The 27965-nt window shown below is 41.1% G+C and overlaps 1 protein-coding gene across 13 annotated transcripts in view; it reads right to left on the bottom strand.

The window, feature by feature from the left end:
- RGL1 (ral guanine nucleotide dissociation stimulator like 1) overlaps window positions 1–27965 on the bottom strand; it is a 292424-nt gene that overhangs the window by 35321 nt on the left and 229138 nt on the right. For all 13 annotated transcript variants that reach the window (XM_011509339.4, XM_047415682.1, NM_001297669.3 and 10 more), the window contains 6 exons: window positions 27139–27216; window positions 12412–12596; window positions 9302–9426; window positions 8274–8489; window positions 4635–4738; window positions 1051–1135 (listed from right to left, as the gene is read on the bottom strand). In XM_011509339.4, the coding sequence (XP_011507641.1) occupies window positions 1051–1135; window positions 4635–4738; window positions 8274–8489; window positions 9302–9426; window positions 12412–12596; window positions 27139–27216 (793 nt within the window). The remainder of the gene's footprint in view (window positions 1–1050; window positions 1136–4634; window positions 4739–8273; window positions 8490–9301; window positions 9427–12411; window positions 12597–27138; window positions 27217–27965) is intronic.

Genomic DNA, 27965 nt, shown 5'->3' with positions numbered 1-27965 from the left:
TGAGACTGTAATCCCCTTAAGATCAAACACTGCCTTTAATATGGTTTTATCCCCAATACCTAGTGGGTGCTCAACCAATATTTACTGAACTACTAATTTACCTTCTCTATGAAGCTGGATCTGATCCATCCTGCACCTTACTCCAAAAAGGTCAGAAGAAATAGCTTTATGTCTTGGTGATAAAAGCACAGGTTTTAGAGTCTCACCACATTACATTCATATTTTAGCTCTACCACCTATTGGTTGTATGCCTTAGGGCAGGTTATTACCCTCTCTGAGTCTTGGCTATCTACAAAATGATGATGATAAAATCTACTTTATAGAAAGACTATGAGGATAATATTTGGTCTATGCTAGTTCCCCTCTGATGGTTGTTCACAACCTGTTAGTTGTCTTTATTTGACTATTTATTCTTGTTGTTTAGTGTCTATATACCCCAATTAGATGGTAAACTCCAGGAAACAGTGTTTGTGTTAGTCACCTTCATATTTCTAGAAGCAGGTTCAAAGCTTTACAAATATTAGGCATTCAACAAATGTCTGGAGACATAAAATGAACTAAGCTATATCTTTACCTAGTGTGTCATTCAGAAGTCAGCACTTACTTGGTGTTCAATAAATACTGCTGACTGACAGATTGTGCAATTTAGTCCAAATAAAGGATGTGGAATTGCAGGCAGGCTTGGCCTCTGTCATTCTAGATGTTTTGCTGAGAAGGAATATTCCAGGGCCTCTCACCCACCTAACTGCCAGCACTTGGTATTTGCAGAGTAGCTTGTTAAGGAGGTACATACACATATGAACTCAAGTTTCACAATCTGCTTGCATAACAGGCAAGCTAAGGGAGGTAGAAAGAGAGAGCTCAACTGGACTTAGAATTTTCTCAGCCCCAAGTTTCTTAGATTCTGCATTTAAAAAAATTTTTTGCCTTCTAGTTACTTTAGGCTTTCTTTGGAGTTGAAGGAACTTAAGGAGCCCTCACACTACTCTTCCTTGAATGGATTCCAGAGCTATTAACAGCACTACACAGCAGCCTCACTAAGAGCCTCACCTTCATCAGTAGTTCTCGGCTGGTCAAATGGTTATTATGGTCTGAGAAGATATCTGAAAGTTCTTCAAACATCAGCATTCGGTCCCTATGAAAAGGGATTAAGAAAATATTAACAATGAAGAGTTAGGAATAACCCGACACTTTTGGCCCAGCTGTCCTCAGGACTCATGTCTAAGGAGGGACTGTGCTGATCTCAGGGTTGGTGGGTACTGTAAGCACAGATAAGGCCCATGATTTTTTTTTATGCGGGATGGCTTTTTATTTCTTTTAAGGTGGACTTGGCCACCCCTGTGGAGAGAGGTATATTTCCCTAGCCATGCATATTATAATCATAAAAAAGGATTATTCAATTGGGGCATCAAGTTGTTCAATTAGGACATGTTCTTCTCAGTGAGTTAAACAAAAAAAAAAAAAAAAAAAAAAAAAAACTGTTACACACACAGAGCCCACAGATCTGAGAGGTCATCTTGGCCAGGCCCCTAAGTTTAGAGATGACGATGCCAGAACCAGGGATTTTCCCAAATTTCCACGAATAACTGCTGAGGGTTGTAGGTATGGAAGCCAAATTTTCTGGCTCACAGGCCACTATTTCTACTCCCAGAGTCAGAGAATGGTGGAACCGGATGGGCTCTGCAACCAGGGGTGGTGAGTTCCAATTGCATCTCTCCACTCACTTTCTGAATGATCCTGGACAAGCTGCTTAACTTTCCTGAGCTTCAATGTTCTCACCTCTACAAGGGAAATATGACAGTGCTTTTATGGGACTGCTGGGACAGTGAGTGAAACCACATATGCAAAGCATCTGCTCTGCCCCTCTCCCTTTCCAGGACACTACATCTCTGTGAGCCTCATGGTTTTCTCTACACACCCTCCAGGGTTAATGAGTGCATGATTCTGAAGACAAAGAATTAATAGGGGCAATATCACTATATATGCAACATTTTCATTATTATGAAAAAAACCATTATTAAGAGCCTGTTTTATAGTGAGTGTAATATTACTCTAAATAATAAAGAAAACCATTAAGCTATTCATATTTGGAGAAAATAATTTCAAAATTAATTATATGTGGCCCTAAATGAAGAGAAATAAATAGGTATTCCCTTTGTCTACTTAAAGCGACAAATGTCAAGGATTATAGGGAAAGTGATAACCAAATAAGATATCTTTTTTCTTACAATAACAGCTTTATTGAGATATAATCCACATATCATTGAAGTATACAGTCCAATGCTTTTTAGTATATTCACAGAGTTGTGCAGTCATCCCCATAATCAACTTTAGAATATTTTATCACCCCAAAAAGCAGCCCTCTACCCTTTAGCTATCACCCTGGGACCCTACCGTCCTCCCAGTCCCAGCCCTAGGTAACCACTGATCTACATTCCGTGTCCATAGATTTGCTGATTCTGGACATTTCATATACAAGTCCAAGTATATGATACGTAGCTGTTGTGGCTGGCTTTTTAAATTTAGCATGTTTTCAAGGTTCCTTCATGTTACACCATGTATCAGTACTACACTCCTTTTATGCCTGCAAAATATTCCACTGTATAGATGTACCATGTCCAAATAAGTTATCTTAATCCTGTTCCTTGAATTTAGCAATGGAGAACATGTAAAGCTGATATAGAAGTGTGTTCTCTAAGGAACTGTGACACTTCTGTAGTGTCCTTGCTAAAACACATACAAACCAACTAAGAAACAAACCAGAAACATATGTTACACAGAATGCAGCTTAGAGGGTTTTTCCTTTGTCTTTAGAAAATAGTTTTAAAAGCCAGCTAGAATAAATCTTTTCATATGGCAGCCAAGGAGACTAAGATACAAGTCCATTAATTTTTTTTGCTCATGTTTTAGTCTCAAACTTGCTGTGGAAGAAATCTTAGGCTGGTTACGTGACTTTCCTTAGTGTTCTTTTTTCAACCATCAAAGAAAGGATTACCTTTCGTGGCAATCAGACAAGGTTGCAATCAATTGAGTAAGGCTACATTTTAACACTTGACTGTCCCTTTGTTTTTGATACTATACTACAGTTGAGTGGAGAGTGGTGGTAAGGGAAAGAAGAGGTGAAGTGGAGGTGTGAAGGGTGGGGACACTGCATGCTTCTGATTTTCCCATCGCATTTCACCAGGGCCTATCAAGTAATGATTTTATATGACCCCATCGTTCTTAAGGAGAAATGTGCAGAGGAAAATCAACCAACTAATCTCTCTTTAATACACACAATCACCTTGATTATTCAAAATAGAGAAGAAAGAACCTAAAAAAAGAATAATAATCAAGAAAATTGCATTGGTCTTTGAAAAGCCTGCTAGTTCTTCTACTGATAAATATTGATGTCATAAACAAAGCACGAGCTTTGGAGTGCAAGTAGCTGTGGCTTCTACAGCTCTGTAACATGAGGCATTATAAACATCCACTTTATTTTTTTCTTTTTACCCATCAAAGAATCACCTAATAAATAATTTGGCTTACACCAAGTAGACTATCCCCTGAACGAGAATATGAGCTTATCAGCAAGCTTGAGGATTCTGGCACTCATTTTTCAGCATAAATTTATGAAACTCTGGTTTACCAGCTTGGGGCTCTTGCAAATTCAAACAATGCCAGTCTCTTAGGGCTTGATCAACTCTGAGTAAACTTATGAAACTGAGGACCCAGACCTTCCATTCTGCCCCACTAAGGCAGCCTGGCTGGGAAGCCAGCTGGCATCCCTCTCCTCCTAACTGAAACTGACTATACCACATGTGGTATAGACCATACAGAATTTATAGATTCTTCCCTGATATAGCCTAACTTCCTGACTAGTTCAAACCTGGGCAAACTTGTTGAATGTAGCTGGCCTAGTTGTACTCATGACACAATCCCCAGCCTCTAAATCTGTAGTGACAGAGAATCAGAACTGCCCCCTCCCTCACCTTTCCTTCCTTTGCACAAAGTTCTTTGATCTACAGTGAAGTTCCGGAAATGGAAGTGATGGCAGTAGTGCAAAAATCAGGAAACCAAGTTGTTAATTATTCCAACGGTTGCACCAAGAAATATGAAGAAAAACAGCATAGGATGTGGCCAGTTAATAATTTCAGGTACTTAGGAAAGAACATTTAAAGGTTTTTAATGCCAATAAGATAGTTTTTAAAATGCTGAAACTAAAAGGACAACTAAATAGTTTCCTACTGAACATCAAGAACTAATGTCCTATCTGCACACATTACCCCTTGAGTCCTAAAATAGCTTAGGGCTTTGTAGTGAGGCTGAAAAATAACCAGAAGTAATGGCAAATTGCTGTAACTTCATCACTCCACAACCTTATCCCTCAAAATCCAGATAATAAGCACATCCTTCAAATCATCCCCAAAGCCAATAATCTTGGCTTTGGTATACTTAGAATGAGTTTGATTTCTGCAGGAGCCCTGCCTCAAAAGTCATTAATGATTATGTGTAAGATGCACCCTGCCTGAAACACACAGAGGATTTCAAATATGTTTCTCTAGTTATGCGATACAAGCTTTGAAGGTGAGGACTCATCACAACCACTAATTATCCCGGCCAAAGAAAAGCAGAGCAAACACTTGGGAACTTACCTTGGGACGGCAGCCCAAGTCTTTTTTAACCGATAGATGGAATTAGACTGCAGTGCCGAAACGATGGCCCTCAAGGAGGAAAAATTCTTCAGGAGTCTACATTCCTGCATGGGGAGTGATTAAAACATAAAAGGCATTTAACTATCAATATTACAATGACTTGGTGGTTTCCTGTTTTAGAGGTATCACAGCTGCTATGAATTCTTACCACAAAATAGGCAGCTGTATAAATAGTGAACATCAAAAAGTGGCTCCTTCCTCCCACCCCAGTCATCGAAACACTTTATAGATTTTGGCACAGTATGCTTGTTTTTCTCTCGTCAATATATTTTTTTGTGTTGTTGTTACAGTTTTATAGTTTCCAGCTTTCCTAGTAAAAACACTAATGGAGGTAAGTCTACAGAGCTATGCTAGAAAGAGCAACTTTCTTCTGCTGAAAGCACACAGATGTCCTAAAAATATGCACTTTAGATCTTCTTTAGATCCCAAAATGAGCTGGGCAGCAGCCACTTTGAGGTCAGATGGTATTGAACATCTCATCACCAACCCTTGTCCACAGAGGTGTATATAATTTGGCAATAAAAATTCACCACAAGTTGAACTTTGGCTTTTATGCTCTTAGCCAAGGGGGGATATTTTTATACACATTCATTTGGTTTCAAATTGGCTTGTCCTGCAACCATAAACATTCAAAAACACCTTGGTACTTCAATGCTTCCAAAATAACTCGGCCTTTTAAAATAAAATTCATTTTGGCAATGTTTTAAAACAAAATAGAAAGAGAACAGGAAACATTCTGGATGCCATTTTCTGGGTAAGGAGAGAGGCTCCCTATTTAAACTTAAGCTACCATAAGGAGCCTGTAGCATCAGCAGTTAGTGACCTTGGAGTCAAAGTCCTGTGACTGAATAGCAGGGACAGCAAAACAGACAGGGAGAAAGTCCCATTCTTGGCTGGCATGGGGAAGGTAGCAACGTGAGGAGACTGGACCAGGCCTTATGTCAAAGGAGATGCTTCATATACAGGCACATGACAGCGTACTAGGCCCAGTGTTTACAAGTGAGTACACCATGTGAGCACGTATTTGGTTTTGTGTAGAGTATCTCAGGTAAGAAGTCCCAGAGTGATTGGGCATAAATGTAAATCACTTCGAGAATCATTTCACAAAGAAATGTTAATCCTGAATACGAAGGAAAAACAGCACTCTAATTTAGCATGCCAAAATCTGGACACTGAAAACTATGCCAAACAAACCCTCAAACATTTTCTTTAGAGTAAATGCCAAAGTACTTAATAAAAGTCATGTCCACCCTTTTTAAATGCCTCAATGTCCTCCCCTTATTTGGAAAGATATAAAGAGAAAGAGAGAAGAAGGAGGGGAAGGAGGGAGGGAGGGAGGAAAAGAGGGAGGGAGGGAGGGGAAGAGAGAGAGAACAAGAGAAATGTTCTGAATTGCAATCTGGAAACTAAGCCTATGGGAGCATGGTTCAACAAAGGTTCACAAAAGTTATATTCTAAAAATCAGGAAACTTGCAATAAAAAAAGGAACTCAGGAACAGATACATCATGCAAATTGAAATAAACACATGGAACACATTATTCAAAAAGAGGTTTAAACTAAGGGTTTAAAGGAGTACAAAAGGCATCTGGTCCCATTTCTAGAAAAAGAGGCATCTTCCAGGAGATGTGATGCAAAAGTAAAAACATACCATTAAGGGCAGTCCAAGAAAATATAGTCATATTAGGTCAGAAAAATTTTCTTTTTCAAATATCCTTTCAATAGAAATTGACTACGATGAATGCAGGAAAGGTAAAATAAATCTTGGTAGCAAACCACTGGTAAGCCTCATTATTTTATTACATTTCCCTACACAATTGTAAAAGATACAACATACTCAGTATTAGGAAGTGATATCACCAAAAAAAAAGTAAGAGCCCTTGGCTTTATTAGCACATGATATGGGATTTGAAATATACTTCAAATGATTCAACTTGCATTTCTTATTACTACATAAATGCACAATTTACATTCAATTTGGACCAAAAGTCATCGCTTGAGCCCCACTATGTCACATACACAGATGCTATATTGTCACTATAGCCAAAGTAGTTGAATGAATTAGGGGTAGACAGTCTGCTTTTGAGACATGCTGTGACACTTATGGCAAAAAAAAAAATAATTCCTTATCATTCTAAAAAAACAGAGAACTTCTACACTATATCTCACTCACAACTTCTTTTGTATCTCTTACTTGCTGAGCAATAAGCTCGATTTAGAATAGGAGAAATAGAAGTTGTTTATGCAACTTACACTCTTTGTTTCTTGCTGACTTTCATAATACACTAAGAAGTCTGTAATAACAGACCACCTGAAGACTCAAGGCAAATTATCTGGCACAATTGTGTCTCTGCTCTTTAATCAAAGACAGCAAAAGAGAATGTAACATTATGCCCTATCAATAGGGGCTCAAGGAAAAATATATTTAAGGGGACATAAAGCAAAATGTGTTTTGGTTGAGAGTTTACCCATAGAGCCCAGAACACAAATTAATATGATATTTTCATATTAATAATTTTTCAAAATCATTATTTTGCTGATGTAATTTCTTTTGCCTAGAAAAAAAAAAACCTCTCTAATCTTCAAATACCAAAAATCCTATCTGTTACTCAAAGTTAATTTCAAATGTCAATTCATCCATGAAACCTTCCTTGATCATCCCATCAGAAATGATTTCTCTCTCCCCCACTTTTACAGTGCTTATCTCCCATGGCCCTACTCCTCTACTGTCTCAGGCTGAGATAATTCCAGTATATCTTAGCTTCCTTGTTTGTGTACGGGTTCCTGCAAACAAATAATTATGCTCTATCCTAGTATGTCCCCTAAGTACAGAATATTGTGGTTTACACACATTAGAAGTTCACAAAATATTTGGTGGCCCACTGACTGCACACTGTTGCCATTTTCTCAGTCATGAGATAAGATGCTGAGAAGGGGAGGTCCTATGGTATGTAAGCAGTTCATCCAAGAGACTAGACTCCAACACTCAGAAGAATGTGAGTCAGGCCTAGGAACAGACTCCTCCCCTCCAACTTCAGATTAATATGAGACATGACCTCAGATTAATATGAGATCTCTGTAAGTGTCTCAGTCCTTTAGAAAAGAGATTCAGGACTCTGAAGAAGTACCAGCTCTTCAAAACTGCAGAAGATGTAATGCCTCCAGGTACTGGGAGGGGGCATAGGTAATCACTCTGGGTTGAAGGGCAGTCTGTTTTGACATGCAGACCATACATTTATATTTACTGAACATGGTGCTGAAACCAACACTCAGTCTTGTCGTGAATACAAAGGGGAAAGCAGACAGAATGTCTCACTCTAGAGAGGTAGCAGTGTGAGAGCCCATAACTGGGAAGAAGTGAGCAGGGGTCCAATTTTTTAAAAAAGAGGAAAATAAATAAGCTGCCAAGTTTAGAAAGGCAACTTTTTTCTTACTCTGGAAGAACAACAAAAACCCAGTGGGCTCTCATATATGGTCTTTTGACTGCCTTTTCAACCAAACAGCTAAACCATTTAAACGAAGTGATGGAGCAGTCTCTTGCATCTACCAAACACAAAGAATATTTTATAAAAGACAATTACATGAGCGATGTTGATCCACTTCTCAATGATTTTGGCTCTCTGCTGAGTTTTGAGTTCTTTGCCCCCCAGGATGGTGCTGACAACACATTTGGTGAGGGTATTAAACTGAGAGATGGTGGCACGGATCGTAGGAGCCAAATGTTTGTTTTCCTTCTTATCCCTTCGAGACCAAATGCAGCCCAGGCAGTGGTGAGGCACTACTTTCTTGAAGAGTTGCTGGAACAAAAGAGGAACTGACTTTAAGGACAACACAGACATTTCATATGGCAAAGCATGTCATCTGGGTCATTTGTAAATTGGTATTTTTGTGAATGGCCAGATAATCCTTTTCTACTTGATTTGTCTCATGGTGTCCATTTCAACAGACAAAAGTAAATAATTAATATACTCATCGATAATGTTCACTAGAAGGAAAATCTCCACCCTGTTCCACACTGCCTTGTCAAAAGTGATAAAGCAGAAGAGCTAAAGCCACCACGATAACTCCTCACAGTCCTCTTGTATTTACCATCTAACACCGACCTATGAAATCTGACTGACATACTCAAATATGTCCAGCTCACAAAAATATTCAAACTTCAAAAGTACAGAAAGCACACGTGGAAATGAGGGGCCAGATACAATCACATGTGGATTCTGTGAATTTATTTTATTCTAACTTATACTTTGATCCCTTTACAATCCTCCAAATAAACAGTTCAGATCTTGAAATATTTATGAGTGTAAAGGGAGAAAAATACCCACAGAACAAGGCAGATTTTGTTTCACAGGGATTCGAATTCTTATTTCCCTCTGTGTCTTGAGCTCCAAAAGCACCTTCTCCTAGAGTTGCAAGAAGAGCTCAGGCCTGAATTATTCAGATGATTGATTCAAGACACATCTTAACTCTGTATCTGCAGGCGCAGCCTGTCTCAAGGATTCAAGAAGACTTAAAATCACATTATCCCACTGCTGTCACCGGGGCACCAGTGCCATCACTCCCCTATGTTTTAAGTGAAAGTACATCTGATCACAAAGAGAAGACATACTGCATCCATGTAGGTCAGCTGCTCTGCCACGAGATCTTCTGAGAAGCACGTGAATTCTGCTGACTCTCCACCCTCCAGTTCCTCTTCCTCTTCCAGGCTGAAGGAGATCGTGTTGGGAAGCCCATCTGTTCACATATGGAAAAGATTAGTAATTTGGCGCCAGTGTATATAATCTTGCTTATAGAGTCATCAGACTTTACTCCTTGTTTAGGAAGAAGAGGGCCAATCCTCCAGAACAGCCACAGGGAGACAACCACAAGCACAATGCATCTGAGAACAATGGAGATCTTCCCATCTCTGCTTGTTCTTAGATTCTCTATTAAGATCAGAGCCCTCATGCTCTCACTCTGACAAATCACTGGCTCCTAGGCCAAGGACAGAGCCAGGATAGGCAAAGTCTAGAGAGAGCCCTTTGTCTAGGGCTCTTTCAAACTTTTTGATCAGATCAGCTCCAGGACTAATCCAACTAACTCCTAAACCCCAACCATGCAATTTTTGGTTGCTGGGCGACTTATAACCAGAAGCCTGGAAGGACTCGCCATGAAGGCAGGTATGACTTTGGGCAATAAAATGAGCCATTTTGGTGTTAGAAATGCTGACGAAGCCCTCAAAATTCTCAAAATGTTCAGAGTCACTTTCAACTTCCACCCAAAGCTAAGAATGCATGAAGCAGAACAGTCTTCAACTAAATTCACCTGAACCTATCACAGCCAAGATCATCAATTAGCAAATTACATAGGGCACAGCATGAAGAAGAGAAAATCAGTACCCAGGATTCCGAATAAAAAGCAGAAGAGCCCACACCTGGAATAGGACCTCCAGTCTCCATTTTGAAAGACTGGAATTTGATGAAGGTTTTCTGACTTAAATCCCCAGCCTTCCTTTCCTGGAACCTTTCCCCAGTGCTCGGGTTGTTTCCCAACCTCAGCCCCTTCACACCCCTCACACTCCTTCCTGTCAAACCTGTTCTCAAGGAAAGAAAACTCTAGTTACATTCAGTTATATCTTAGCAGAAATGTAAATCAGCATGTTACTACTCCCCCAGAATGCTTATATTTTGAGCCTTTTCTTTCTTTCTTTGTAGAATTAAAGACTATTGGGCATCTTGGATTAAGTCACAGTGGCTTTCCTTCATTTTCCAGGGAAAAGGAGCTTCCGAGAGTGGACCCTACACCACTTCCCCTTTAGGGCAGCATGTGGTTATCTGCCTATACTGGTGGCAGGTATGTGATTTGAGGATTGCCCCTTTACCCTGGACTTGAAGTTCCAGATGCCAATGGGGTTGGGTTATGACTGAAAAACGTAGAAGGGGATCACTGCCTATCCCCGGAGTCTGCGACACAAACAGGTACAAGCTAAAGGAAGCTAAAACCCCATGACATGGAGGATGTTAAGCAATCTAATTTCATCATTCTTCCTCCATACAACTCTGGCACTGTTTAATTTAGAGGTGTAATTAGAAACTTGGGATCCCAAATAAAGGTTCAGAAACGGCCTCTCCCTCGTCTTGTCAACAAATACATACATATATCCCATTTGCCCTGCAATGCAGAGCCTAACCCACTTCAGTCAAGGAGCAGGGTATGTGCTAAGGCTTGATCTTTCCATTCATTCATTCAGCAAACACAGCAGCCCAATGTGTGTCTATAATGTTGCTGTGCATGAAGATTACATGATCCTTTCTCTCTGGGGCATAGTCCATGCCTTCACTGTTTTCTGCTTTTGATTCTCCTCCAGAGATAAGTAACAACATGAAGCACGATTTTACTTTTTAAAAACATATAGGAGAGCTTGCTTCTTCCGCAGGAGTAAAATTGGGTAAAACAAGCACATGGGAACTGAGGCAATCTCCCTCTCCCCTGCCTCAGCCTGCCAAATGAGCTCTGCCTTGCAGTCCCTGTGTTGGAAACAATGAATGACTGGTCCCACCGGTTCCCCAATTAGGCTCAGAGCCAGGGGCAGCCCCAGTGGGGAGAGCTGGGCTCCAACACAGCGTTTCCCACTCCAGCACAAAGCCAGGCATGGAGGCCCTGAAGGGAGCTGAGGTCCGCAGCTGGAGGAGTGCCCCTGGTATTCAAACATTCCTGGCAGATGAAGTCATCTGAGATATAGAGTATTTGGCAGTCAGCTTCCAATGATGCAATTGCATTTCCCTCTCTCTGGGACCCCCATCCATAAGAAATTCAGCAGGTATTGTTTGGAATTTAGGTCTATTTTCTTTGGAGCTGATGCAGCTTTCCTTATTGGTGCTGAGGAACATTTCCTTTCCCTTACTGATGAAGTCAGGCATCCCTTCAGGGTAATGCCTGTCAGAAGCTCCAAGTGGGTCAGCCACCATGGAAACTGTCACCCAGCACCCCAGTGAGAGGATACAACATCACACTGGAAGCCTGTCCCAGCCTCTTTCTGACTTTCTTCAAAGCCTAATAGTTCCAAGCACCTCATAACCTGCAGTGGTGGCCTTTCCTTTGTCCTTGCAAATAGGAAGTTAATCTTCAAATAGGGAAAAACAGCTGCAGAAACTTCCTTTGATGAGGCCCTTATAGATGCTAAATGATGACAATCTGCACTGGCAGGGGACCCGTTACAGTGATGCTTTTCCATACTGAAGGACAAACACCTTTTCCAAGCTTTTGGGAGGGCAGGATCAGAACTAGACTTCATTCCTTGACTGCTAGACGGGAGTGGTTGTGATGGAAGGCTAGAAGGAGCCATTAAACAGGTAATAAAATGCAAATTCAGGTTCAGCATGGTACATGTTGATAAGGGAAGATTAAAGTTCATCAAGGAGACCCTCTTCTTGGTAACAGAAGAAACCCCAGGAAATTACTTAATTTTTCTGAGCTGGAGTTTCCACAGTTTCCTCATCCATAAAATGAGGGAGCCAGATTAGGTAGTCTTGAAAATACCCTTCTCTGTCTAAAATTCTAGGCTCTCTAATTAGTACTTCAGTAATCTTGAGAATTTTATACTCAAGCCAATCCTCCAGCAGCATGTTGTTTTGAGGGTACCAAGGTTTCCTATTAGCCAGCACAGGGAGAACCTTTCTCCAGCGTGGAGGCTGGAGAATCAGAATCTAGCCTTTTCCCTGGGAACAAACAAGTACTCACTGTCAGTTTCCACTTCTTGCTTCTGAAACTGCTCAAGAAGATTTTGTGCTCTTCTTTCTGGGTCAGAGCCCGGCATCATCCGTGTGAGATAATCCAGCAGTTTCTGTAAGCAAGGGAAGTGAGGGGGCTCTCGGAAGTCTTCTGCACACTGGTCAAGCCAGGCCCTTAGTATGGAAGCGATTGCACTGAGAAAGACAAATGGAGAGTCACTGCACCCAACTGGCTGTGGGGAGGCAAAGCAATCCCTGGACACCAGGGTGGACCCCAGGGGCACCCCTGGAAACTTGGGTGGGTGGTCAACAGATCATTCATCCAAAAGTTCCTAGAAACATCAATGGATTTAAAGCACTTGAAAACAAACTAAACTTTATTGTTTTAAGTGGAGTGCTGCAGTGAAACTGATAAGGTTTTTTGTTGTTGTTGTTTGTTTGTTTTAAGGAGGCTAAACTTTGGAAAAACCCATACAGGGCAGAAAAATTGATGTGTAGAAGGTTTAGTGAGTCCTGAAGAAACTTCAAAGCAATCTGTACACAATAAGATTATGCTCAAATTAAATCCCACAAAATCTGCCACCTAATATGTTAGGAAATAACTGACTGCCGGTAGGCCAGAAATCCATCTGATGAAAGGAAGTGCCTGAGTGTGGAAAGATAAATGCATAAATTCAAGTTGACAAGGATCACCAGGGCTTCAGCATGAACACTGAAAATGTCCTCATAAAATTATCCTTTTGTTTCTCAAATTACAATGAGAGGAATATGTTTCAAGTAGCAGAAACAGTAGGTAGAGAAGTTATGTCTTTAAAAGATAAAGAACAAAAACTTGATAAGCAAAGGTGATTTCTTCTGATGGCTCTGTGGGTCACAGAGTCCACCTAGGGGAAGACAAGGTTCCAGGGCACAAAAAGAGACAGGGTCATTTGTATGTGCACAGCTCCCTCCAGTATGTTAGTAATAACACAGCATGTTGTCTTTAGGTTGGGGCACCCACTCACTGAAGGCTAGAGACAAATAGCTGAAGGATAAAAAGGATAAAATGTTTTGCATGCTATTATTCTATGCTTCATCTTCAAAGAAGACTTTACCAACACTCCTGACTCAATCACATGCCACAGACAAGGAGAACAGAACAGAACACTCTGCCTGCCTAGCAACCAGTTACCCCATACGGTCCCGGAATAGTCACTGCTGAAGGCTGGAGAAGATGACAGGGACTATACATTAATCCATGCATCTTTTATTGACAGAGACACAACACCTCATCTTAACTAAACACTTTACCAAAATTTTTCAGCCAAAAAGAATTTTTTAGCACATTTTAAAATTATCATTATCACCTAATTATACTTCAAAGAAATTGTTTTTTTAGTTAACAAACTATAACTGGACTAAGTTATTACCCACATATGTGAAAGTGAAGGCTGGGCTTTCACAGGTGTGTCTAACTTTCTTCACATCTTGATTTCACACCAAGAAGCTGGACTATCATCAAAGCATAAGTATGACTAAAGCCAATTTAATGCTTAACTTTTGGAATTGAAGTACAAACAGAAAGAAAATAAATGTGTTACTGTTTTCATTATGGTGTAGATCATTGTTTCACTAATGTGGAACGTTAAAGCATTTGGAACTATAATATTCAATTATCTGCATCTAAAGTAGATACATGAAACCATCAAATGAAAGTCATAGAAATAATTCAATACTCCAAATATTTAGTCCAGATTAAATGAAATGATAAACAATAATTTCACTTTCTTCCAGAAAGCCAGAAATTAATTGAAAACCTGATATTTGCATTTACATCAGCTTGACTTTTACAGAAAAAGAGTTTTGCACCTTTAAAAAGAGGGATGAATTAATCTAATTAACACCACTATACTTGCTTAATGTTTCTTAATATTTCAGTGAAAAGATACTCTTATGATGACACTGATGGAAAAACAGATATGGAGAGGTGATAATTCATATCATATACTCAAGTCAAAAACAGTAGCAGCCTAACAACAAGACAGTGTTTCACTGAAAAGAACACCCAGACGGAAACACAAAATTACAGGTAAGAGTCAGTGATGCTAATATATTATTCACTTCTTAAATGCCTGTGATCCTTAATTATTATGATAAAACTCATTATTTATTGCAAAAAAGTAAGTCTTACAAATGTACATAAACTAAAAAAGCAAAATACCTACTCTCTCCCTTCATCCTAATCCCATTCCCAGGACCTTTTGTTAACTGTTAGAATATATCCTTCTAGGCTTTTCTGTGGATATGTATACATATTTAAATATACATAATATGTGCCAGGTGTGGTGGCTCACGCCTGTAATCCCAGCACTTTGGGAGGCTGAGACAGGATTATTGCTTGAGCCCAGGAGTTCGAGACCAGCTAGGGCAACGTGGCGAAACCCCATCTCTACAAAAAATACAGAAAATTAGCCAGGTGTGGTGGTACACGCCTGTAGTCCCAGCTGCTCAGGAGGCTGAGGTGGGTGGATTGATTGTACCCAAGAGATAGAGGCTGCAGTGAGCTGTGATCACACCACTGCACTCCAGCCTGGGTAACAGAGCGAGACCCTATCTCCAAAAAAAAAGATAGACAGATAGATAGATAGATAGATAGATAGATAGATAGATAGATAGATAGAAAGAAAATCAACATGGGCTTTTTTACTGAGCAGTATATTACAGATACTTCATCATTACCTCTAGATCTATCTTATTGTTTCTCATGATGTGGACACACCATAATTAAGTATTCTTCTACTGGAAGGCAGGTATTTAAGTTATTTTCAGGTTGTCACAACTACAAAATATGTGCATCCTTGCCTCCATCTCTGCATGCTCGTGTGGGTATTTCTGATGGGCACACAGCACTTACCTCTATGGAGAGCTGCAGCCTCAGAAGAACTAGGAGAGTTCTAAAGAGGAGCCTTCGTCCACATTAGACTTGCCCTTAGGTGGACATTTTGTGTTCCTCAATCTGATGTTTTTAATGAACTCTGGCGATCTATACATTTTTTTACTCTTTGTGACAGTGACCTTCCTGTAGCTTAGCCTAAGAAGGCTTTGAAAGTTCACCACAAACTCAGATACTCAATCAGCCAGAAAAAAGCATTTTCACACAAAAGAGGAATGAAGGGGGAGGAGGACGAAGAAACAGAGAAAGGGAAAGACATACACAAACAGCACAATAGAACACGAGGCAGAGCCCTGCCCTCCTCATCGGCAGAGCGTTTCTCAGCACACCAGGCAGGGAAGCTTTCTGGAAAGGCCTGGACACATGCCCAAGGCTCACAGTAGCTTTGTGTGTGCCAGTCCTGGGAAGAAACTTTCCGTTCTTGATAGATTTAGAAGCAGATACAAATGCGAAACTTTTAAGATTTCAAAAAAGAAAGCAACATCGCAAAATAATGATGAAAAGAAAAACAGGATTACTGGCCAATGGCTTTTCGGTCTTACCCAGCCTGGCTCCAGTCCTAAGATCTAACTTATATATTAACCAGAACAGAGTGGGGGGATGTAAAGAATCTTACAGCTGAAGGGAAATTCTGGTTTGAAGTCACAAATTTACAGGTCTGGTATGTCTGTTAGACTACAGAAGCCACTTGGTTCTGTACACAGACCAAGACAGGACGCTTGGAGACCTGGAGAAAGAAAACTCTATCTTTCATCCTGGCTGTCCCACCGGGGAACTAAGGAAGCCTGGATAGGTCAGTTAACTCCACTGACCCCCCTCTCTGGGGAAGAGATATAATAACACCTTCTTCATCTACCTGACACTGATCAGTTGTGATTTCAAATGATATAATGTCAATAAGGACATTTTGAGATACCTGGAGAGAAACATAATTATCAACAGTCTTACAACTACTTGCCAGAAGTCATAGAAGGAAGGGATTGAAAAGGTAAAATGGCTCAGCGAAAATCCATCAGCACTCACAGGAATTGACTCAAAGAATCTGCCACCTCTCACAGGAAGAATGACACAGAATACAAGCCATGCTATGACATGTGTGACTTCAGGCCTGCTGGAAGAAGATGGCTGCTGTGAACACACACACAAGACACACACACACATATGTGCCCACATACATATACCTTGAGGTATCCTCTCTAGGACAAATCAAAGACATCAAACTGTAGTATTAACTGCAAGAGATGATTCTTGAATAACTTGTAAAGGCAGAAGTAATTCCTGAAGCCAAACTGGATGATTACAATTGTGACATAACCTAAATTCAGTCTGGAGAAAAGCCAGTATGTGACTTCCTTTTCCAAAGTAATCTTTGGTGGCTCACAGAACAAAACTCCTCGGTCCTAAGGGCAAGTATGCCGGGTAGGTGGCCAAGGCCAGGGGCCCAAAACTGATAGCAGAGGAGACAACCAAAATTGAGTTTTCTACCTCAGGCATTCTTGGCAACATACAAAACTTTGTAGTGTGTGATTCTTTTCCAACCGACTGCAATCGTCTATAGGGGAAGGAAGACATGCTCAGATGTCACTGTTTGAAACATACTAAAGCAGCTTCTAGGACTTTTGCTTCTAAGAAATTCATTCACCAATTAAACTAATATTTGTTGAGTGCCCTTTATTTCCCAGAGTCACAAAAACAATTTATGCGATGAGCATCACAATACAGGAAGTCCAGGGTCCCAGGGAAGCACTGAACTTCAGAGGGAGCTGACCTGGTCAAGGCTTTAGGGAGGATCTCCCTGAGGAAATGATGTGAAAGCTGAGATCTTGAGGGTTAGGAGTCAGTGGGATGAGGATTCTGGGGCAGCAATGAGGCAGAGGTTCTGCGGTGAAAGAGCTAAACACTTGTAGAGGACTTAAAGATCTGTTAAACTAAAAAATATAAAGAGTTGGGGGAAAGGAGCATGATGAAATCTGCTATACTCATTGATTTTTTTTTTTTTTTTTTTTTGAGACAGAGCTGTCGCCCAGGCTGGAGTGCAGTGGCGCAATCTCGGCTCACTGCAATCTTCGCCTCCCAGGTTCAAGCGATTCTCCTGCCTCAGCCTCCCGAGTAGCTGGGATTACAGGCACGTGCCACCATGCCTGGCTAATTTTTTTTTTCTTTTTAGTAGAGACCAGGTTTCACCATGTTGGCCAGGCTGGTTTCAAACTCCTGACCTCAGGTGATCCACCTGCCTTGGCCTCCCAAAGTGCTAGGATTACAGGCATGAGCCACCGCAGCTGGCCACTCATTGATTTCTCAGCCAACCAGAAATCACACCTAATAACACCTGCTTAGAAGACATTAGACAGATGCACCTTGGCTGAGAGATAAAAGAAAATGGTTCAGAACTTCTAGCCACCCCACGATCTTCAGGCACGCAATGCAGAGAGGGCTGAGGCAAGCATTTAGGCAGCGATTATGCGCAAATCACAGACTTTTTAATGAATGCAGATTTTAGGTAAACGTATTAAATCATATTAACATTCCATAGGCAGTAAAATACTCTATAATTGGTCAAATGTTTAATACAAATTTTTTCAGGTATGAAGTCACCTCTCCCATGATGTGTAACTTCTGAGCCAAGAAATAGGATTACCGTGACAAAAAGAATAACACTATCCATCTAGAGTTCTTTTCTCTCCCCAGCAATCTATTTGAAATAATAATTTTTTGTACTTAATCATCAGCAGAAAATAAGACATGGAACCATTTTTCAAAAGCAGCAAAATGTTTTTCTATTTTAATACATTCTCTGAGAACTGGATCTTGTCTTCGCTGCAGATAATGAAAAGGTAAGAAGATTTACGCAGACGGTGGGCCTTTCAAGCAATGAAGTAACTTCTGCCAAGCTCTGAGGGCAGGATCTAATACACTTTGTCCTTCAAGAACTGAAGCCTAAGTCAACCTTGACCCTGACTCTGGGCCGGACCCTCCACCTTGTTCTCCTAATCATAGAACAGTTTTGCTCTGTTTCAGGGAAGGTTGCCAGATAGAAGCTGCCTCTGAGACCTCCAGCTAGATGATTTTCCTGATGAGAAGGAACAAAGAAAGATACAAAGCTTTCCTCTTTGTTTTTTTCCTGGAAAGGATGAAAATATTATTATCTGGACTTGTCAAGGTTGTCCTGCGTTGCTTTTTTACACTTTACATTGTCACATTTCAGTGCTGTTGGTAAACAGGGATTCAAATACTAGGAGGAGACGTGAAAGAGAGATTGAGAAAAGACCAGGGAAATAATGCCAACAAAGCCAGAGTCAGATTTAAGCACTAAGAAGGCAAGGGCAACGCAGGGACTATGGGGAAGGGAGAGAAGAGAAAAAAAAAAACCTCCACGGCAAGAAGGAGGAAGAAAAAGATTATGAAAGGAAGACATACAGAAAGACAGTAAATGTGAGTGGGAGAGGGCCCGGAGTAGGATGGATAAGCCTGAAGCCAATTACCCAAAGTCAAGGTTATTTACACACCTGTCTTTCATTCCCAAGCTAAGTACTTAAGAGAAATATTTTCATTTTTATCAGAGGAAAAATAGTAAAGGTCATGCAGCACAGAGGTTAAGGCCTCGGTTAAATCCCAGCTCTTTCATTTATTCACTGTGTAGCCTTGGACATGTTCCTTAACCTACGCCCCAGGTTCCTCCTCTGTAAAATAAGAATAATAAAACATAATCATTATGAGGATTTAACAAGTATGTACAGTACTTAACACAGGGACCATTCCTACTAAGTAGTCAATAAATTCTAGCTATTATTAGAAAAGGACATCGCCAGTCACCAAAATTATCTTTCAAGGACCTCAATAACTCATTCCCCACAGTCCAAGAAGGGAGTTTTCATGTTATAAATAGAACTCTATTGAAAAAAATGGCTAAGGCCTTCTATAGTTTTCACCACTAGAACTGAGTTTCCGTTGGTAGTGACAGATGCTACGAGGCACAAGGAACAGGAAGCAGGTTCTCCTTTGATGGGCCTAATTTGGTCTTGTTTCCTCACATTCTTCAACCCATCTCCTTCCCCAGGAAAAAGGTCTAGCTTCCACATTTCTAACAGCTGTGTGCGAACCTTGCTCAGGGTGTTCATTCAATAATAAAGCAACAGCCAGGCAAAACAGCATAGAGCAATGGAAATAATGACAAAAGATCTCAGAATAATAACAATCTAAAACATTAGTCACAACAATGATATTGTAATCTAGTTCTTCATGTACTTCCGCAGTCTTATTATGGTGATATAGGCAAATGCGGAGAAAAATCTTGAGTATCCGAGATCCCAATGCTCTTCTATAAATGGCATGCCTGGGCTTCCCACCCAGGTCTTGGAGTCAGTTGGACGGGAGTTCAAATATCAGACCTGTCACTTAACCACCTGCCTGATCTTAGTCAAAACACATAACTTCTCTGAAGCTTCACTTTATATCCTATAAAGTGAGGACAATATCTCAGCATATTTGTGATGGTTGAAGAAGACACAAATATAAAGTACTTAGCAGAATGCCTTGTAAGCATACCACAAATTGTAGCCAATGGTGGTGGCAAGGGCAGTGTCATCATTTTCTTTGTTTACAATGCTGTGCAGGGAATCAAACAATACAGTCTAATTGTGATGTCTGTTTTCCTTTCTAAAAGAGACATTCTTTAATGTAGAAAACCCTAGGAGATACTCGTATGATTGATCTGTCTTCTTTTTGAGCCATTGATTATCAATGTTGTTTTATTCTTCCTCAACTATTAGAACATCAGTTTCTGCTCAGGGCTTTCTACCCATGTCCCTAAAATGCAGACTTGACTTAGAATGCTAATGACTTGTAAAACTATGGTTTTTATTCTTCTTTGTCCTGTAGGGATATTTTAAAGACAATACCAGACTCTTCGATATGGCATATCACTTCTTCATTTCTTTTGTTTCACTTTAAAAAAAATTCCTTTCACATTATAACTTTTAATTCTTCTAAATTGGAGTTTTAAATCTTGTTTTTGCTGTTCTTCACCCCTCCTCCTTTTCCCCATTTTTGTTATAATCACTCCAATTAATTTCAATTGCCTTCTTAGGGCATCTGAATTTGCAGGAATGAATATTGATTGCAAACTCTCTGGGAAGATTTTTTAACTTTCCACTGTGAAGTTTCTGAGGCAGTAATGTAACACAGCCAACTTCCTTTAACTCCTTTCCTTTCTCTTTAAAGTGTATCCGATGTCTTGGATTACTACTATTTACATGATCCTTTACCAGTGACTGAAATCTGGTGTCACTGTTTACAACTTCTGGGAAAAGATTACAAGAACAATATACGTATCTTCTGAATATGTGGAAATGAAAGCAGAACGATTTCAACAATTTGAAGTAGTACTATGGTAGAGAGTTTGAGAAAACAAAACTTGGCACTCCAGAAGGAAACTGATGAGATTCAATTAAAGAAAAGAAAACAGAAACAATTTCAACCTTATAATAGTCATTAAAGGAAAGAAATAAAGCATCATTTCTTGAGGAGTTTTAAATCTCTTTAAATAAAGTTATATATAGAGAGAGGGAGATATGGCCATCTCATATAAAATTCAGAGAATGAAGATTCGTGTTGTAAAAGCTCTATATGGTTAATATCCCTTCTTTACATTCTCTTCATTTCTGAATTCAATGACTATAATAAATCTGCCCTAGAGACAATTCACTTTTTCCATCTGGTTCAGATTTTATTATTTAAAAAGATAGCATTTTATCGTGTAAAAATGTCAGCAGGAAAAGGGCACGGGTAGAATGAATATAGGCAGAAATGTTTTCTTCTGTCATAGAAAGTGAGTTTCCTAATTGATAAATAGTGGCCAATTTAGGAATCCTAGAAATAAATGTGGCACACCTTATATAATCAGTCTAGCCCTACCATCAGAAATCACCGTGAGGCAAAGATTCCAACATCCAGAAGCCTTGGAAGTTGAATCCTTTGCAACTGAACACATTCTTGTCTTAGCCAGATAACTTTAGAGGGTCCTGACATTGTGCAAAGCCTGAACTCTGGACTGGAATTACAAGTACTCCGCATGTGGGAGTCCCTGCACAATCTGATACTTTTTTAAATGCATGAAGAACACTAGTCGGTTGTGGTCCAAGACATCAGAAACCAATTTTTCATCTTGAATGCTTCATCTGTATTTCCACATTTTCCTTCTTTAAAGTTCTTTTACCCTCTGAAAGGTTTAAATCCATATTTGGAAATACAGGAAAGATTTTACTTGGTACTTGGGAGCCTGTATAAAATGTAAGGGTTGCTCTTTGCTTTACAGCTAAAACGGGAAAACAAACAATATTTGGGCATTTTTCTGTTCATGGTTAAATCCAATAGTGAGTCCCTGTCCCCATCCCCTCCTCCACCCAGGTCTGCAAAACTGAAGGCAACTGCCCTAAACAGGATGTTTACTTCCTGAATGTCATTGGATTCCTGCTGTCGGTTTTCCACCTGAAATCACAAGAGAACAGATTCATAGCAAAAGAAAACAATGGGCATTTTGCCACTCCTTGCCTTACTCCCACAAGACAATGCTTTAGCTCAGCTCTTTATTCATGACCCCAGTGAGCAGCTGTGATGTCATGACTAATAACAAACAAAGCTTGTGTATGTGTTTCTTCCTGTCTCTTCAAAACTGGTAACACACTTTCCAACAGAGAAAAGTGGTCGAAGGTACCGTACTCTCAAAAGTCCACTATGCTGTGTGGACCATATCTCTGTTTCTGTTATTCATTTTTTGAGAGAAAGAAAAAGCTAAATAAATTTTATCTTAGACATCACTGAACTTAAAAGGACCTCAGCGAGCATTTACTCCAAGCACTCATTTTTCAGGTGAAGAAACTGAAACAAAGGGAGGTGAAGGGACTAAGCCAAGGTCAGATGACTGGTAAGTGACAGAGTGATAGAGAAGGAGCAGGATCCGAGTTCTCCAGGCTCCTTCACCAGGGCCTTTCCCTCTCCATGTGGCTGCCTCTGAATCACTTCCACATTTGATTCAGCTACTTATAAAAAGAGACACAAATAGAGAAATTTCCAAATAGGCCTGCTCCTATTTTTATGTATGTTAGGTATTCATAAAGACAGTTTCACTTGAGAACTAGAGCCTCAATACTACATAGCAGGGCTTCTTAGGCACTATTGACATTTAAGGTCAGATCATTCCTTGTTGGGGTAGAGGAGAGTTACTTTGTGCATGCTGAAAGATTCTCCCCCGGGCCCGAAAGCTTGAAGGGATGAGTAACTCCTCCCTTCTCAGGCCCAGTCCCAAAGCTCAAGGCCACTTGCGCCAGCAGCACGCGTCAGCAAGATAGCAGAAGCAGGAAGACAGCGGGCCAGAAGACACCTACCCTGGCCGGAAGACACCTACCCTGGCCGGAAGACACCTACCCTGGCCGGAAGACAACTACCCTGGCCGGAAGACACCTACCCTGGCCGGAAGACAACTACCCTGGCCGGAAGACACCTACCCTGGCCGGAAGACAACTACCCTGGCCGGAAGACACCTACCCTGGCCGGAAGACAACTACCCTGGCCGGAAGACACCTACCCTGGCCGGAAGACACATACCCCTGAAGACCGAGAAAGAGGCCGTCCAGGTACTACGTAGCAGTCACGTCAGACTGGGACACTTCCTGTTTACAGAGGACTACAAAGCCCCTGTCCCGTCCTCACTTGGGGCTGATGTCATTTTAGGTCTCAGCCCGCCTGCACCCAGGCACTCATTAAAACAGTGTGTTGCTCCACACCGCTTTGTGTTGTCTGTTGGCATGCTTTTAGGGTTCGAACCAATACAAGAAACTTTCACATGCTAGGACGTTTAGCAGCATCCCTGGCCTCTACCCATGAGTTGCCAATAGCCTCCCCCCACCAAGTTGAGACAACCAAAATGTCTGTAGGGCATTGGCAAATGTCCTCTGGAGGATAACAATCGCCCTGTTGAGAACCACTGCCATACCTCCTACACATCTATTGATCATCAGGAAGCCCTCAATCATTGCTGCAAGTCAGATGCCAGAGGTCTGGGATGACCAGGAAATTTGCAATACATTACATACAGATGGGAGAAGATGCTTCCCTGATTTCCTCTCACAAAGACAAAGACAAAGCAGTGACCCTATCTAGGCACAGAAATGATCAGGAGAAGCATAGTTTCAGAAAAAGAGAGCCAAAAAATAATAGTGAAGTGAGATGAAAAACAATAAAAGATGTGGGGAAAAAACAGTGAGAAAGACAGAAGAAAGGGAAATGGAAGGAAGAAAGAGGTCACCAGTAAGAAGGGATTTTAACATTCCAGAATCTGTAGGACAGAGCGACCCATTATAAGATAAAGTGGCATATTTTCATCAGGCATAATTTTTTAAAAGGCAACTCAGTCTGAGCAAAAGGGTCAAGAACTTTCCACCAAGTTATTGTGAGACTTTAGGAAAGGACCATTGTCCCCAGAGGATGGACCCCTCAGGGGAGTTCTGTGTGAAGCTCTTTGTTAAGCCCTCATATGCTTAAAACTCTAAAACTCTTTAAAACAGCTTAGCTTGGAGTTTCATTCACATTAGTGTTCCTAGTATACAACGAATTCGAATGAGACTTTAAAAGAATGAACATGACTCTTCATACCCAGGGTGCAATTTTCTTAACTGCTACTTCCCAAAAAATCTATTTTATCTCAAAACACCTCATGGGACAGAGAAGCTCTGGATTTTTTTATTATTATTATTTACTTTTAAGACAAGGTCTCACTCACTCTGTTGCCCAGGCTGGAGTGCAGTGGCACGATCATGGCTCACAGCAGCCTCAACCTCCCAGGCTCAAGCAATCCTCCTGCCTCAGCCTCCCAAGTAACTGGGACTACAGGCATGTGCCACCACATCCAGCAATTTTTTAAAAAAATTTTTGTAGAGACAGAGTCCCACTACGTTGCCCAGGCTGGTTTTGAGCTCCTGCCTTAAGTGATCTTCCCTCCTGGGCTTCCCAAAGTGTTGGGATTACAGGCATGAGCCACCACGCCCGGCCAGCTCTGGATATTTTTGATTGTGACTCTCCTCAGAGTGTTCAGGTGGCTAATTGAATGGCAGCTCTAGATTGGACTGAGTTCCAAAATATGTGTATAATAACATGTCTATTTCTGAATCTGCTCACAAGTCTAGATTACACTCAATTCTTACAGTATCTCTCCTTTTGTATATGCTCCAAAATGTCCATTATAAAAAGGTTCTTCTAAAAAAATCATTATCTTAGTGAGTTTTCATAGACTCCTATGATTCTCAAAACTCTAAAGTGCTTAGGAATCACTTGAGAATCTTGTTAAAATGCAGATTCTAATCCATTAGGTCTGAGTGGGGCCTGAGAGTCTGCATTTCTCACAAGCTCCCACCCAGGAGATGCTGATGCTATAGGTCCACGGTCACACTTTGAGCGAGAAGGCTCTATGTCTAACCCATTCTGAAAAATCACCTTTTAGATTATATTGTTTCCCTCCTATAAAAATTCATTACTGCTGACTGCCCACTGCTTACCAGGGAAAGTCCAAACTCTCCTGCAAGAAATTAATGCCCTTCATGAAGTAAGTCCAATCTAGCTTCAGCTCCACTGACTCCCCTCTCACCTAACATGTACTCTATGAAGCAGCCACACCAATTCTGTGTTGTTCCCCAAAATTCCATGAAAATTGCATTTGCCCAATTTGGTCCCACTGTTTCCTATACCCAGACGGCTCTACCAACAAAATCTTCACCATGCTTCAGGGCCCAGATCAAAGGTAACCTCCTCCAAGAGGCCTTCCCCAAGCCCTTCTAAAAACAAAAGAATTGTTCCTCCCACTGTACCTTGTGCTTGACATTCAAATACCTACACTGGTATGTCTGGTTTTCTGGAAAGTTATGATCCACTGAACAAAACTGTAAAACTACATGGAACCTAACTCAGGAGTTAAAAAAGATACTCAGCTTTCTACTTTCACATCCCTAGCTCCTGAAGAAAGGAGTCTATCAGTAACTCTTCTGAGGAGTTAAAAATTCCACAGGATTCCCCCCAGACTTTTGGCCCCAAAATGAATATTTAACACTAGTGGTTTCAGGCACCCAGGTGCACATTCCATCTACTCAGGAACATCACCCCTACAATGGCCCCCACCCCCGCATCATGGATGTTTTCTCATAGGACATTCTCATCAGCATAAAATATCTTCCATCTTTTAAAAAACACATATACAACCAAAAAAAAAACCCATCTTCCATCCATTTCTCTATTCCCCTTTGCAGCAAAGCTCCTCCTCTAACAAGACTCACTGTCCCCACTTCATCCCCTTCATTCTCTCTTGCCCACCTTTCCATCCACCAAACTGCACTTGTCAAGTCACCAAAGACCGCAGCACTGCAAAGGAGGAGTCACTTTTCAGACCCTCACACTCGATCTAGGGCAGCACTGGAGGGAGTTGGTCACTCCCTCCCTGAAATCCTTTCTTTGCTTGTCTTCTGGGGACACAACAACTTCTTTTTTCTCCTCCCCCATCCTTCCCCAAAGCTGCTCTGTTCCAGTCTCCTCTGCCAGACGCTCTACTTCCCTAACTCTAAACACCCAAGGAACCAGGCTCAGTCTCTGGATCTTCTCTCCTCTATCTGCCCTTAGTTCCCAGGAAGCCACATTCAGTCTCATAGCTTTAAATACCATGTATAAACTAAAGACATCCAAATTTATACCTCCATTCCATGCCTCTCCCTGAAATCTAGACTGAGCTAATTATGTCTGTGACTGAATTTCTGATACACACTCCCCATTAAACCTGCTCCCTCGATCTTCCTTATTTTATAAAGCCAAGGTTCTGTCTCTCCGCTGCTCAAACCGCAACCCTGGGAAGCATCTGGCCTCCTCTTGTTCTCTCACACAGCCCATGCACTCCAGCTTGTCCTGCCACCAACACCTGGAAGATCTCTGCAAAGGCTGGTCACCTTCACTGCTATTGCTTCAGCCCGCACCACAAGCAGCCCTCATCTGGACTCTTGGGAGGGTCCTGACCAGGCTCCCTGCTCCCACCCTTGTCCCCAGCCACACTGCCACAGGCTACTTTCCGGACACAGAGCCAGAGCGGGTCTTTTAAGATGTGTCAGGCCACAGCACTCTTCTCAAAACCTTCTAAGCGCTTCTTATCTTCCTCAGAATCAAATTCAACATCTTTCCCCAAGTTGCTATGAGTCCCCTTGTGAGTGGCCACCTTCCTGCTCACCTCACAGTGCTCATCCCCTAGCACGCGCTCCGGCCACATGCAATTCCCTGCTGATTCTCAAACACCGCTCCTGCCTCAGAGGCTTTCCCGTGGTCTGTCGGCCTGGCTATTTGCAAGGCTCAGGGCACACCTCATTTCGGCGTGCTCCAATGCCAACAGACCAGACAGCCCAATCCGGGCACCCTACACATAGCCAAACGCTCCAGCCCTCAGACCCTGCTTCATTCTTCTTCACTTTTTTGTGTGTATTCTTTGTCTCTTTCTGGTAAAATACACACTTTTTATGAGCTGGGACTGTTTATTTTGTTCGTTTGTTTTCTTCACTTGTTTGTTTTGTATACCTTAGCACAATGCCTGGCAGACAGTGGTTACTTAAGATACTTTCACTGGATACATAAATGAATATTGTTAGGTAATCAAAAAATAAGCCTCTGTATGCACTATGGAAAAAAAAATCATGGCAACATTCAAAGGAATAAAATACTCTACTAAACTACTTTAAGATATTGTCTTGACTGAGAGCTTAGAATGCAAAGAAAAGGGAGACTCACTTCCTGATCACCATTTTGGACTCTGATGAACTTTGGCTTCCATCTTCTTCACAGTTTGGGCTTGTCAGGTTTCCATACCTGTAGAGATAATAATGAACAAGCAAGCAAAAACAGTCAGTGGTGTTGGAAAGCAACTCTATTCAACTTCAACTACAAAGTGACAGTTATACTTTTCAGAAGTAATTAAGGAAAGATATATCTATGAAATAGCATTGAAAATGATGCAGTATTATTGATAGTTACTTAATGGATATATCTGCATATTCTAAACAGAAAAGTCATTTAACAACTAATCACACTACTTAAAACTTTCTCTTAATATTAACACTTAACATTTATTGACTTTTTTAGATTAGAGTGTTCCTATCAGCAGGAGAATCGGCTATTACATAATACGAAGAAGGCAGATTCCTCATGAACTCTGTAGCACACCAAACCCTCCCGTCCAACCCCTCTGCATGTCTATGCAAGGGACACATGGCTCTGCAGGCACAGCATCCACACTCATGCCACATGGGAGCACAAACTGATGGCTCCAGGCTACACTTAAGAGTCTGGTCTCCTTGAAAATAAGTCCGTTGTAGAGGGATTATGGAAATAGCTCTGGACCCTAAAATTAAGGCTGGGATAGAGACAAGGACTACAGTAGAAGCTCTCATGTCTTAGCAACCATGAGAGCAGCTGTAGCTATACTGAGGCCAGGTTGCGCTAGACACAGCAACTGGGGAGGTGGGGTGCAGGGGTCTGATTTTTGGGAAAGCAATAGATGCTTAAATTTTAAAAATTTTCTCATTACCAACTCAAAATTTACTCAATAATTCATCAGT

The sequence above is a fragment of the Homo sapiens genome, chromosome 1 (assembly GCF_000001405.40).
Source record: "Homo sapiens chromosome 1, GRCh38.p14 Primary Assembly".
In the NCBI taxonomy this organism is placed as follows: domain Eukaryota; kingdom Metazoa; phylum Chordata; class Mammalia; order Primates; family Hominidae; genus Homo; species Homo sapiens.
This window is presented reverse-complemented; position numbering and strand designations above follow the sequence as displayed.